Source organism: Homo sapiens, chromosome 2 (assembly GCF_000001405.40).
Source record: "Homo sapiens chromosome 2, GRCh38.p14 Primary Assembly".
NCBI classification, from domain to species: Eukaryota; Metazoa; Chordata; class Mammalia; order Primates; family Hominidae; genus Homo; species Homo sapiens.
The window spans coordinates 168,675,932-168,689,006 of NC_000002.12; the positions used below are offsets into that span (position 1 = coordinate 168,675,932).

At 39.0% G+C, this 13,075-nt stretch overlaps 1 protein-coding gene across 4 annotated transcripts in view; it reads left to right on the forward strand.

Moving 5' to 3' along the window:
• Nucleotides 1–13,075, forward strand: part of CERS6 (ceramide synthase 6) — a 318,863-nt gene that overhangs the window by 219,660 nt on the left and 86,128 nt on the right. The window contains exon 1 of one of the 4 annotated variants that reach the window (XM_017003749.3): nt 1,073–9,439. The exons of the other annotated variants lie outside the window; for them this stretch is intronic. Within the exon in view, the coding sequence (XP_016859238.1) occupies nt 9,398–9,439 (42 nt within the window). The 5' untranslated portion in view covers nt 1,073–9,397. Of the gene's footprint in view, nt 1–1,072; nt 9,440–13,075 lie in introns of those variants that run through there. 4 annotated transcript variants of the gene reach the window in all.

Below are 13,075 nucleotides of genomic sequence, written 5' to 3' on the forward strand. Positions count from 1 at the left end.
ACCTCGGCCTCCCAAAGTGCTGAGATTACAGGCGTGAGTCACTGCACTCGGCCAAAATAACCATTTTCTAAAACAAAAAATCAGAGATTTTTGCAGTTCTTCTTAATATATGGTTTAGTAGAAGACAGCTGGGTTCTTATTCCTATTTCTACATTCAGTCTGTTGTGATGTGTTGTTTTGGTTGAAGTATGTGAAGAATACCTGGACTTAAAGATATGTAGTTGGGAAAGGTAGATGTATCTTAATGTGTTTTCCAGAAAACTATAAATATTCTTCTTTGATAGTATAGCAAAAGTCAACAAGCAGTCTTTTTTTAATGTCAGTGGACTTTTTATACACAGTTAATGTTAACATCTATTAATCTCTTCCTTTGAATGGCTGTTTCACCCATACACGGTTTTTTATCATGCATTGGTCATTTGGAATTTACTGGTCCACTGATGTACGGAGATCTTGCAAGTGTTTACACATGTCATTATGGAATATTAAAAACCCACATTTGTTAATGTTTTTATTGATCCCCTCAGAAAAATTATTAGCTATTGGGAAGATGTAAGGTTCATAGTGGACTATACATGTTTTCCAAAATACTAACAATATTAACTTAAAAGCTTGAATTTTATCATTGGCAGCACATACTGTCATTTGATTTTCTTGAAGTGAAAGACTCTGTCCATTTTTGAGAAAATGTCTACAAGTACTTAATTCAGAAAAACCACACGTTGTCAGTCATACTTTTGTATCAAAATGGCGCTCTATGAAAAAGTGCCTAGTTCAGCCTGCAACTCAAATGAGAATCACACAAGTTTCTTCCCGCCTTTTTGCCCCAGAAGTGCTGCATGTGTACTTCTCATTCCATCATCTGGATGTTTACTCGAGGGTAGAGGTTTAATGAAGTTAATGACTTTTATGCTTCATCAAGGATAGTCATCAGTGAAACTTTTTCCTTCTAATCGCGACTGTCTGCTGGTGAAGAAGACAGTGTCCATGAGTAGAGTTTGGTGCCACTGTCTTGTTTCCTGCTAAGCCTCCGGCAGTTTTACGCACCATTGCTTTGTTTTTTGGGGCTTTTTTTTTTTTTTGGAGATTTTTTTTTTTTTAATTATACTTTAAGTTCTGGGATACATGTGCAGAATGTGCAGGTTCGTTACACAGGTATACATGTGCCATGGTGGTTTGCTGCACCCATCAACCCATCATCTACATTAGGTATTTCTCCTGACGCTATCCCTCCCCTTCTCCCCCACCCCCCAACAGGCCCTGGTGTGTGATGTTCCTCTCCCTGTGCCCATATGTTCTCATTGTTCAACTCCCACTTATGAGTGAGAACATGCAGTGTTTGGTTTTCTGTTCCTGTGTTAGTTTGCTGAGAATGATGGTTTCCAGCTTCATCCATGTCCCTGCAAAGGACATGAACTCACTCTTTTTTATACTGCATAGTATTCCATGGTCTATATGTGCCACATTTTCTTTATCCAGTCTAACATTGATGGGCATTTGGGTTAGCTCCAAGTCTTTGCTATTGTGAATAGTGCTGCGGTAAACATACATGTGCATGTGTCTTCATTTTTTTTATTTTTTATGAGACGGAGTTTCACTCTTGTTGCCCAGGCTGGAGTGCAATGGCGCGATCTTGGCTCACCACAACCTCCACCTCCCAGGTTCAAGTGATTCTCCTACCTCAGCCTCCCGAGTAGCTGAGATTACAGGCATGCACCACCACGCCTGGCTAATTTTCTATTTTTAGTAGAGACAGGGTTTCTCTATGTTGGTCAGGCTGGTATCAAACTCCCAACCTCAGGTGTTCTGCCCACCTCGGCCTCCCAAAGTGCTGAGATTACAGGCATGAGCCACTGTGCCCAGCCATGTGTCTTTATAGTGGAATGATTTATAATCTTTTGGGTATATTTACAAGAAAAAAACCAAACAACCCCATCAGAAAGTGGGCGAAGGATATAAACAGACACTTTTCAAAAGAAGACATTTATGCAGCCAACAAACATATGAAAAAATGCTCATCATCACTGGTCGTCAGAGAAATGCTAATCAAAACCACAATGAAATACCATCTCATGCCAGTTAGAATGGCAATCATTAAAAATTCAGGAAACAACAGGTGCTGGAGAGGATGTGGAGAAATAGGAACGCTTTTACACTGTTGGTGGGAGTGTAAATTAGTTCAACCATTGTGGAAGTCAGTGTGGCAGCACCATTGCTTTTTTACCATCAGTACAAATATCAACACAGTGACAAAGGCAAACGTCTTACTATTGTTACGAAGAGTTTTGACTTCATACCTTCCTAAATTGGATTCAGGGACCCTCAAAAATCTGCAGATGGCCCTTCGCGAATCGCTGCCTGAGGTACTGTCAGGCCTACGGGAGCTAGATTCCTGCCTCATCTGAGCTCCCACTGGCTGGAAAGGGAAATGTGGAGGAAGCACACCTGCTTCTTACTGCAAGGGGGCTGAGAAGCACTGGCTGGCTGGATCGTCAGACTTCCAGCTGAAAAACCCATTACCTTGGAACAAGGGAAGAACAAGATTTTGGTTTATTGTTTTAAGTCCATTGTTTTATTTTCATGTGTCCTCTACCTTCATAATATGTTTCTTTCCCCCCTGAGTAGTTGTTCAATGTAGGAATGAGAAGACCTGTCTGTACACAGTAATTACACTTTTACTGCCAGCTCTCCATTCCTGGTGGGGGTTGGGAGCCTTGAGGAGGTGGCGTGGCTCCAGAAGCCCTCGTAAAAATCCCTGGGAGGAACACAAAGGCTCTTTAGACAGACCTTTGTATTAGTCACTAATTGGGAAGACAATATGCATCAACTCCTTGGAATAATTGACGTTTTCATAGGATTAAAAGTAAAGAGATCCTATGATCCAGCAATCCCACTACTGGGTATGTATTCAAAGGGAAGGAAATCAGTATGTCAAAGAGATATCTGCACTCCCATGTTTATTGCAGCAACATTCAAAATAGCCAAAATATGGAATTAACCTCAGTGTCCATTGAATGAATGGATAAAGAAAATGTGGCATATATACACAATGGAATCCTATTTGGCCATGAAAAAGAATGAAATCCTGTCATTTGTAGAAATATGGATGAACCTGGAGGACATCATGTTAAGCAAAATACACCAAATACAGAATGACAAATACTGTATGATCTTATTCGTGTGGGATCTATTTTAAAAAGTTATCATAGAAGCAGAGATTACAGCAGTAGTTACCAGAGATTGGGAAGGGAGGGTGGGGAGACGTTTGTCAACAAGTGTAAAGTTACAGTTAGATGGGGGGAATAAGTTCTGGGGCTCTATTGCAAAATAGGGCAACTATGCTTAACGGTAGGATATTGTATATTACAAAATAGAAGAGAGGCTTTTGAGTGGTTTCACCACAAAGAAACAATTACATGCATGAGGTGATGGATATATGAACTACCCTAATTTGGTCATTATCCAATATCTACACGTGTTAAAACATCAAATTGTACTCCATAAGTATGTACAATTACAATGTGTCAATTAAAAAATAAAGAGACTGTATGTATATCCAGATGTGTCTATTAGGGGTTGTTAAAATAGAATTTCCCATCTTTTCTCTCTTTCTCATCTGTGGCTTCTACTCGTAATCTCGCTCTGTGTGACAAAACTGTATCTTAGTCATGAAAAACAGTTTATTTGAAAATATTGTTCAGGGAGATTAGTACCTCGCTCACACACAGATAGGACATGGTTCAGAGAGGCTTGGAATCAGGTCATTGGCCAACGCTGTCAATTCTCTTTATAGTGTTTATGAGGTTTACGATGAGCATCTCATACAGCAATGCCTGAAACTACAAGTGGGACTTATATTGTGCCTGACATCAAGAAAAGGGCCAATAAATATTAGTTTACTCTTTGGTTACTTGCCTCTTTTCACTGATCCACATTGTTCTTATTTATGAGCAATATCCTTTAAGCTGCAGCCTCCTATGTGCTTAGAAGTCTTTTTAAACGTTGATGACTGATTAGGAAAATCAATACCAAAGAGCATGAAACCGCAGGGAAGCATGATAAGCACTTCTTAAATATTGGAAGTAATTTACGAACTACGGCATTTTCAAAGAGTCTGGAGTTCTGTGGAGAGAAAGACTCACAAATGCTTAAAATCATTTTTGGAGGCAGAAAGCCAGCAAACTAGAGCCTGGAAGATTGGGCAAGAGGCAGAAAGACAGAGGGGTCTGAGTAGTTCCGGCAAGGAGATAGGAATGAATAGAACACAAAGAAGTTGGCCTGGGGAGAGCAGGGGATGCTGGCTGGGAAGAGTGGACTTAGTCGTGCACGGTCACAGTGGTCTGCCAAGCAGGCAGGAGCCTGGAAATCCAGGCACGGGCATCTCACCTTCTCAGCTGAAAATAGGGAGGAGGCATTTGAACTTTTTTCATCTGGAGAATAATGCAAGGAAAGGGATGATAAGGAAAAATGATGATGTTGGAGAAATGGCTTGGTCCATGAGCTATAGGAAAGCATAGGTTCTTCCCTCCATCTGGCAGTTCCCTTCCTCCATCTGCTCACTGACTACATTCTGTTTGTCCTCTGTCTATAACTACCCGGCCCCTCCTCATGGAGCCTTCCCCTCCCACCCCACCCTCCAAGGCTGCTGTGATTTGAATGTGTCCCCTCCAGAGTTCAGGTGTTGCCACATGATATTAAGAGGTGGGACCTGCAAGAAGAGATTAGGCCATGAGAGCTCCTTCCTCCTTAATGGGATTTAGGTCCTTATAAAAGAGGCTTCACACAGCCTTTGGGTAGCTTGCCCTTCAGCATTCTGTCATGTGAGGATGCTGCAAGAAGACCCTCACAAGACCAAATGCCAGTGCCTTGATCTTGGACTAACAGCCTCCAGAACTCTGAGGAATAAATTTCTGTTCTTTACAAGTTAGTCTGTGATATTCTGTTATAGCAGCACAAAGTGGACCAAGTGCCTTTTCATGTACTATGTCCTTAACCACTTGTGTTTATTCCTGCTGTAGCATGTAATGTAATTGTTTTGGTTACCCAGGAGATGCTAAGTTCCCTGAGAATGGAGAGCTTGTCCATTGCATCTTCATGTCCAGCCCAGTACCTGATGCATGGTAGGCACTCAATTAATACTTGAAACAATGTGTGAATGAGAAGCGTGCAGTAATAGCACAAATAGATTAAGGCCTAGGCAAATGGGTTGATAAGTAGTAAGGAAGGGACTGATGGGGATCTTGGAAGGTGAGAGCAAGTTGGGTGGGTGGCAGAATAGTTAATTATCACTCTACTGAGTGCAAGGTTTTATTCTCTGTTATTTGCTCATCTTATTTCTCTCATTCTACTTTCTCTTAATTGGGAATTTAGAATTATTAATGATTTGTTTGTAGTTGAAATATCACTGTCAACATATAAATACTCCAAAGGCAGCTATATCCTGTGCTATTAATTTCAAGTTAATTAGAATTATTGAATAATTTGAGGGTGGCAGTGTATTATTAACACTATTAACGTTGTTTATAAATATAGAGCAAATTGGGTTTTTAAAAATTATTCTCATTCTTGTTTTTATTATTTTTGATATGCAATTTTACATATTTTTGGGGTACGGTGTGATAGTTCAGTACATGTATATAATGCATAAAGATGAAACTAGGGTAATTAGCCATCTATCACCTCAGACATGTATTATTTATTTGTGTTGGGAGCATTCAAAACCCACTCTTCCAGCTAATTGAAAATACACAATAAATTGTTGTTAGTTATAGGTGCCTGACAGTACTGTAGAGTACTAGGACTGTTCTTCCTTTCTAGCTATATTTTGTATCCACTAACCAGCTTCTGGCTAACCCCCTCCCCTTACCCTGCCCATCCCCTAGTAACCACTATTCTATACTCTACTTCTATGAGATCAACTTTTTTAGCTTCTACATATGAGTGAGAACCTGAGGTACTTGTCTTTCGGTGCCTGGCTTATTTCACTTAAAAGTAATATCCTCCAAACTCATTCATATTGCTACAAATGGCAGGATTTCATTCCTTTATATGACTGAATAGTATTTCATTGTGTATACATACCATTTTTAAAATCTATTCATCTGTTGATTCCATATCTTGGCTATTGTGAATAGTGCTACAATAAACATGGGAATGCAGATATCTCTTTGACATACTGATTTTCTCTCCTTTGGATATATAACCGGTAGTTGGGTTGCTGGATCATATGGTAGTTCTATTTTTAGTTTGCCCGTGTGTTTTTTGAAATAAGACCTGTTAAAACTACATAAACTTGACTTTTTATTATCCAGATAAGACTTGTTCATTGCGGAAAAATTATAGCTATGACAATATGTAATTTAATAGTTAATATATGAACATAAGAAAAAATAAAAATCCCCTGAAATAATTATTACTCAGAGATTACCACTAAGCAATTTTGGGTAAATATATTGCCAGGCATTTTTAGTGTGTGTGTCTAAATATATATCTACTTTAAACGTAAAGTACACTGTATACCTTCTTGTAACCGGATCTTAACTTAAAATATGAATGTGCCTGTTAACATTTCCGTAGCTCATCTGGTTTTAGCATAGCGGTAGTGAGCAGTTGCATGCACCCTTGACAGTATGCCACATGACATACAAGCTGGGCCATATTTCTGCTCTTTCTCCAGAGCTGCAGAGGTCATCTAGACACAGGAAGACACAACCTAGAAAAATGGGGGAGTTAATACTACAACTCTCACAATGGGGGGTGGGAGTTGGTGGATAAATGCTGCGGCATCCCTGTCCTGTGTTGAGACAGTTACAAGATCCATGCTATGTGGTTCTGCAGGGGCTCCCCATGCAGTTGCCTGCAGCAGTAACCAGCTCATTCCTGAAAATTGTGTTGGTTTTTCTCCTTTGTCTATCTTACTTTCTCCAAAGCAGCTTACATCCGGGTCTTTATCTCAGTGACTCTTTCTAGAGAATCCCAAATTAAGAAAACGTCAACCCTGTATTATTGAACAATCCGATTTATCTTAATTTTTGTTATAAAAAGAATTATAATGGATATCTATGTATAAATTCCTCTACATATGGGTCTAGTTAATTATTTTTAAATAATAAATGCTAAGTCAAGGATATGTTTTTAATTTTTATTGTAAATAGAATTATAATAGATATCTATGTATCAGTACCTTTATATATGGATCTAGTTAATTTTTTACAATAAATGCTGGGTCAAAGATATGTACATTTTAAAGACTCTTGATATATGTTACCAAATTACCCTTTAGAAAGGTTATTCCAGTTTGCAGAGTATTGGTTTTCCTGTAAGTATATAAGTGACCTTTGGGTATGAACCTTTTTAAATATTTGTCAGACTCTCAGATAAAAAATTCTGTCTAGCTTTAATCTGTAATTTTTACATGTGCTTTTGGTCACATATTTTTGTTTGATGTGTTGCCTGTTTGTATCTTCTTCCCATTTTTCTCATTGGATATTTAAATGTTTTAATCACTTTTTATGAACTCTTTACATATTAGAAATAGTAATCCTTTATCTGTTGTCAATCATTTCTCTAAAATGTTTTTTGACTAATTTTGTGCTTCTTAATAGCCACTGTCACTGGCTTCATTGTCAGATTCTACATTGGCCTGCACATCTCTCTCCCCGTGTGTTGACATTCTCACCGTTTCCCTCCCTCTAGGTCTTTCTACCTCTTTGTCATTCATCTTTTCTTTTCTATACCTGGTCTCTTTCTCCCTAATTCCTGTTCTAAACATGGAATTGATTGGTCTCTTTTACTTTGCAGTGATTCTTGCTGGGTGTAGAGGAGAGTCCACATCAGAGAGGTGGTCTTTCAAGCGCCATATCCCCAGACTCTTGAGAATCACAGCGTTCTTACCCTGAGCTGTAGTGTGCATAGTGTACCACGGTGACTGTTAGATGTGTGTGGAGACCCTCAGCTGAAAAGAGGCAGAAGTTGAGAACTATTGGCTGAAAGGCTTAAGAAGCCATGGAAATGCCACTCACGTTTTCCATCTGCTTGTTTCTATGATAGAACCCTCTTGGAAATCCTGTGACCTGAGTGCCCATCTCCAAAAAACTCTTTCTACCTATATATACTTCACAGATCTGAAAGTTACTTACTAAATTGATTGCAGAATGTGGTAAAGGCACATGCTAGACCAGGTCTAGAGGACTAGTATCCTTTTTAAAGCCTGATCAATATGAAGGACTCTTTATGTAATGCCAGGGGGTCAAGTCCAAATTACATTTCCACATCAGGAGAACTTTCAAGGCTAATGCAGATGCCACAGGCCTCTAGGGAGGGGTTACTGCTGTGCTTGGTAGATTTATAGTCACATGTCTACTGTCCCAGGAAAGGAGGAAGGGACACCTCTTGCATTCTGGGAGTGCTCTCGGCTGCTCACCACTAATCAGGAGTTTCTTCAAGCTGAGAGACTTCTGGCTTCATTCTTTTCATCCCAAACACAATTTATTTATATCTTTGTAAAGTCACAAAATATGAAATATTTCTTTGTCTTCCGAGTTATTTTATAATGTGTATCTAATTAAAATTGTAGATTATCATCTCAAATTGATTTGATTTATATTCATTTAAATTAATAACACAGTTTCTTAAAAGAATCTTCAATATTTAGGTAACAAATTAATATAGATATTGAACATTTAAAATTACACATGAAAAGAGAAATAAGCAAAGATGTTGAGAGGCAATCACAGATCACACTTGCTATGACTGAGCTTTACAATTAGATCTCAGCTTCTCAAAACCAGGGTGGAAAAGTATTAATAACAATGGGGAAACATAATTATCACTTGGCACAAAGAAACATGCTAAGCATTAACAGAAAGGAAGTATTTCCTCCTGCCTTGGACTAAATTTTGAAGCAAAAATGTCCTGTGGAACTTAGACATTGGACTTAGGGTAAACGTTTCCAGTATAAATTCATGGAAGCATTTTTCTTATGTTTTTTTTCTTAGAGTAAATCCTCAATGTAAGCAAAAGGCATAAGGTTTAAATATAACTCAGTGAGTGTTTTCTCAGAGTAGTTTTAGTGAAAGTAGTGTCAAAGTAGTTTAAGAATCTAGGTTTTTGGTATTTTTAAACATAATCCAACTACATAGAGAACAAATGTCTGTTAGACTATATTCCTTGACTCCTAGTTGCATCAGCTGGGCTTTGTGAAAGCTAGGTAAGAGTTTTCACGGAAATAGCAAAAGATGAAATTTGCCTCAAGATGCTGATTTCGAGTAAATACCCACACACCTTTTACATCTTTGATGAGGCAACAAAATGTGTTTAATATGTTTTATGATTCTTGTTCTTTTCTTAAATCAAAATAGTTATTAATTCAAAGAAACTACTGTTTATTCAGCTGCAGATGCCTACTGGTTCTTGGAGGGAGAAAAGCACATGTATGTATGTATGTGATTTATGTTTCTATTTAACCATTGACCACTTGCCTGGTTAATCAGATATCCTTTTCTCTGGTCCTTGCTTCAAAATCGCTATCTCTTTAGGCTTTCACTAACATGATAATTGCAGATGGTAAAGTAAAGTATCAGACCTTATCTGTTTTTCTGACTTCTGTTGACAATGAAACCTCTGTAATGCAGCCAATAAAAGAAGATACTGGATGAAAGAGCAGATTTACTGACACTTAAAGATGCTTCTTTACCCTTCTCTTAAAAAAAAATCATAGAATAAATTGCACTCGATTCTTACGTGTGTGGTCAAAATGTCGATGAAGGCTTGACTTGCACCAGCGCTTCTGGCTCCTATCCTGGTGCCAGGATCAGGTTTGCTCAGGGTAAGAACAGCCACAGATGCCTCCCAAGGGAATGTTACTGATGGATATGCTTGCTGCTGAGTTATGTCTCAATTGATGCCTCTGGGAGAAGAGGCACATAAGCTAATGAAAAATCCCGTTATACATTGTGGCTTAGATTGAGAGAGTTAGAGGTAATTTCTCATCCACTGTGATATGGCCTGTCTTAGTGTTATTCAGACATTTTATAAGTCTTCTTAAATTGAAATTAGTTGACGTGTAATTTAATAGCTAATAAGCACCATTTATGAGGAGTTCTCTTATGATGCTGTTAGTCAGCTCAGACTGCTGTAACAAAATACCGCATACTAGATGGCTTGAGCAACGGAAATTTCTCATCGTTCTGGAGGCTGGAAGTTGCAGATAAGGTCTGGTAAGGATTGGCGTCTAGTGAGGGCACTCTTCCTAGTATGCAGAGAGCAACCTTCTCACTGCGGTCTTCACTTGGTCTTCCCTCTGAGCACGCGCGTGGAGAGGGAGAAATCTCTCTCTTCCTCTTCCTCTCCTTGTAACGCCACCAACCCTATTGGTTTAAGACTCTAACCTTATGACCTCGTTTTATGTTAATTACCTTCCAAAGGCCTTATCTTCAAATACAGTCATGTTAGTGATTAGGGCAGATGCAAAAAATAAATAAATGAATAAATAAAAAGACGCAATTTCTGTTAACCAAGGCAAAAAAAAAAAAAAATTAAGGAAGGAAGCCTAAGGGATCTTGTCAGTGAGATAATCATTGAGTTATGTAACAGTAAGAACTGGTTACCCATCTGGACCTGTGGATTGTTCTGTAGATTACAGGATTTGGAGGTCCTTTCTAAACCTAAAATTCAGTGTTTCTAGGTAATAGCTCATTTGGGGGAATCTATTCCAAATGCCTGTGATGTTTTTCTTTCATTACTCATTCTTCGTCACCCAGAGTACCCAGCGGAAGGCACAGTGGAAGAGCCCAGCTGGCCTAGGTTTGATTTCCACTTTCTCTACTTATCAGCTGTGTAGCCTTTAATTAATTACGGTTCCTCTCTGAGACTGTCTACAAAATAATTGATACTTACCTTGATGCATGTATTAATATTAGAATACAGGCTAAGCTACTGTATATAAAAGTAAAGCAAAACACACTAGCTTAGATATGAGAGAAATGATAGGAATTTATTTATCTCATACATACAATCCAGAGGGAAGCAGATCAGGGCTGGTGGGAGACTTCTGATACCAGACTCCATAGAAACTTCCATTTCAGGGCCAGTGGTGACTGCTTCAGTTTTCATTATCTCCCTTCAATAGGAATGGAGAAAGGGTGAGAGGAACTCATTCACACTGACCTTTTAGGGGCACCGTCCCCAAGTGACACACACAAACTTTGCTTCCACCAGAGCTTCCCACCAGAATTGTACTAGCCAAGGAGGCTGGATGAGAAGCTTATCTTTAGCTATTGCTTTACTAGCAGTGGTTCTTCTGCTTCAAATGATTCTCGCAAAGATTAGAAATAATTCATTAATTCATTTATCTATATTGAATTGTGAAATATCTTAACAAAGTATTTAGCAAGCTGCCTGATACATGGTAAATACCAAAAAGATGGAATCAGCCTTCTTACTTTTCCCTAGTACCTTACTACTTGCAAAGTGTGGTCCGTGGCCTAATAGCATGAGTATCAACTGGGAGCTTTAGAGATGCAGAATTTCATCCCCAAGCCCAGACCTCAGCCTGCATTTTAACAGTTGGTGAAGCTCTGAGCTGGCATGTTCTTTTATAAATCTTTAATGGCGTCTGCTGGCCTCTGCTGGTGACATTATCTTGATTGCTTACAATGTTGTCAGAATTAAATGAGATGACACGTGTAAAATACTTTAAATCTGTGAAATGTTTTATAACATGATTTAAGTGTACATGTGTGAGAAGGAATAATGTGAATCATAGGTTATAAGAACAACATTTATTTTCTGAGACAGGGTCTCACTCTGTTGCTCAGGCTGGAATGCCTGGCACAATCATGGCTTATTGCAGCCTTGGCCCCCACCAGGCTCAAGCAATCTTCCTACCTCAGCCTCCTGAGTAGCTGGGACTATAGGCATATGCCACCGTGCCTAGCTAGTTTTCATATTATTTGTAGAGATGAGGTCCCACTGTGTTGCCCAGGCCGGTCTTGAGCTCCTGGGCTCAAGCAGTTCTCCCACCTCATCTTCCCAAAGTGTTGGAATTGCAGGTGTGAGCCACAATGACTGACCCAAAATTTGGCTTCAGATTTTCCAACCTTGATAAACTTCCTTGATGCTGTAACGTCATGTGAAAAAGGCATTCTGTTTCTGGAGAATGTGCTTGAATTGCCATGCAACCTCCTAGGTACAGAGCTTTTATTATTAGTTAGGGCTTAACTTTCTAAATTGAGGGGTTTTAGTGTATTTTTAATCACCATTCCTCTATGATGTCTAAATATTTCATCTTTTTAAGTTCTTAATTACATTACTGTCCTATAATTTGTGTGATAGAATATATGGATTTTGACATCAAATGAATGTGGAAATGATTCTAAAAAACTGGAAAATTTTTTATCAATGGAGGCAGGAGAATCATTTGAACGCAGGAGGCAGAGGTCGCGCCACTATACTCCAGCCTGGCGACAAAGTGAGACTCCGTCTCAAAAAAAAAAAAAAAGAAGTTATGCCCAAATTATAAACAGCCAATCCAGATTCATACACCAGTGTTGAGCTATAAGAAATCAGGAGAATCAACTCATGGACTTCGGTTTTCTTATCTATAAATTGGGAAAGATATTTGTTCCACTGTCTCACAGTGTTTGGGGGGTATAACTTAATTTAAGATCCTAGAAAAATGTACTGTGCATATGGAAGGTGATATTAATACCTGACGTTGTCAGAGTGAGGGGTATATGTGAACATGCATTCTGTATGAAAGAATATATTCCTAAATGATTGGCCAGAAAACTTGTGAGCTGAACTTGGGCCCTGGTAGCTTCATCAGATTCATGGTATCCAGGTCTGTGCCCCTGCCTCCGGTGCACAGGAGCCCAAAAAGAGGCAGACACTTACACGCTGTTTCTGCAGTTCAGTCAGGCATCGGGCATGCAATGAAAGCAGATCTAGGGGATGCACATCTGATGCACACAGAGAAAAGCCTGGGTTTTAGAAGACTAATCAGCCAAGAAGCTCACAAAGGAAGGGAAGTTCTGAACGACGGATTTTTCTGCATCATTTAGAGTTATACCTTGCC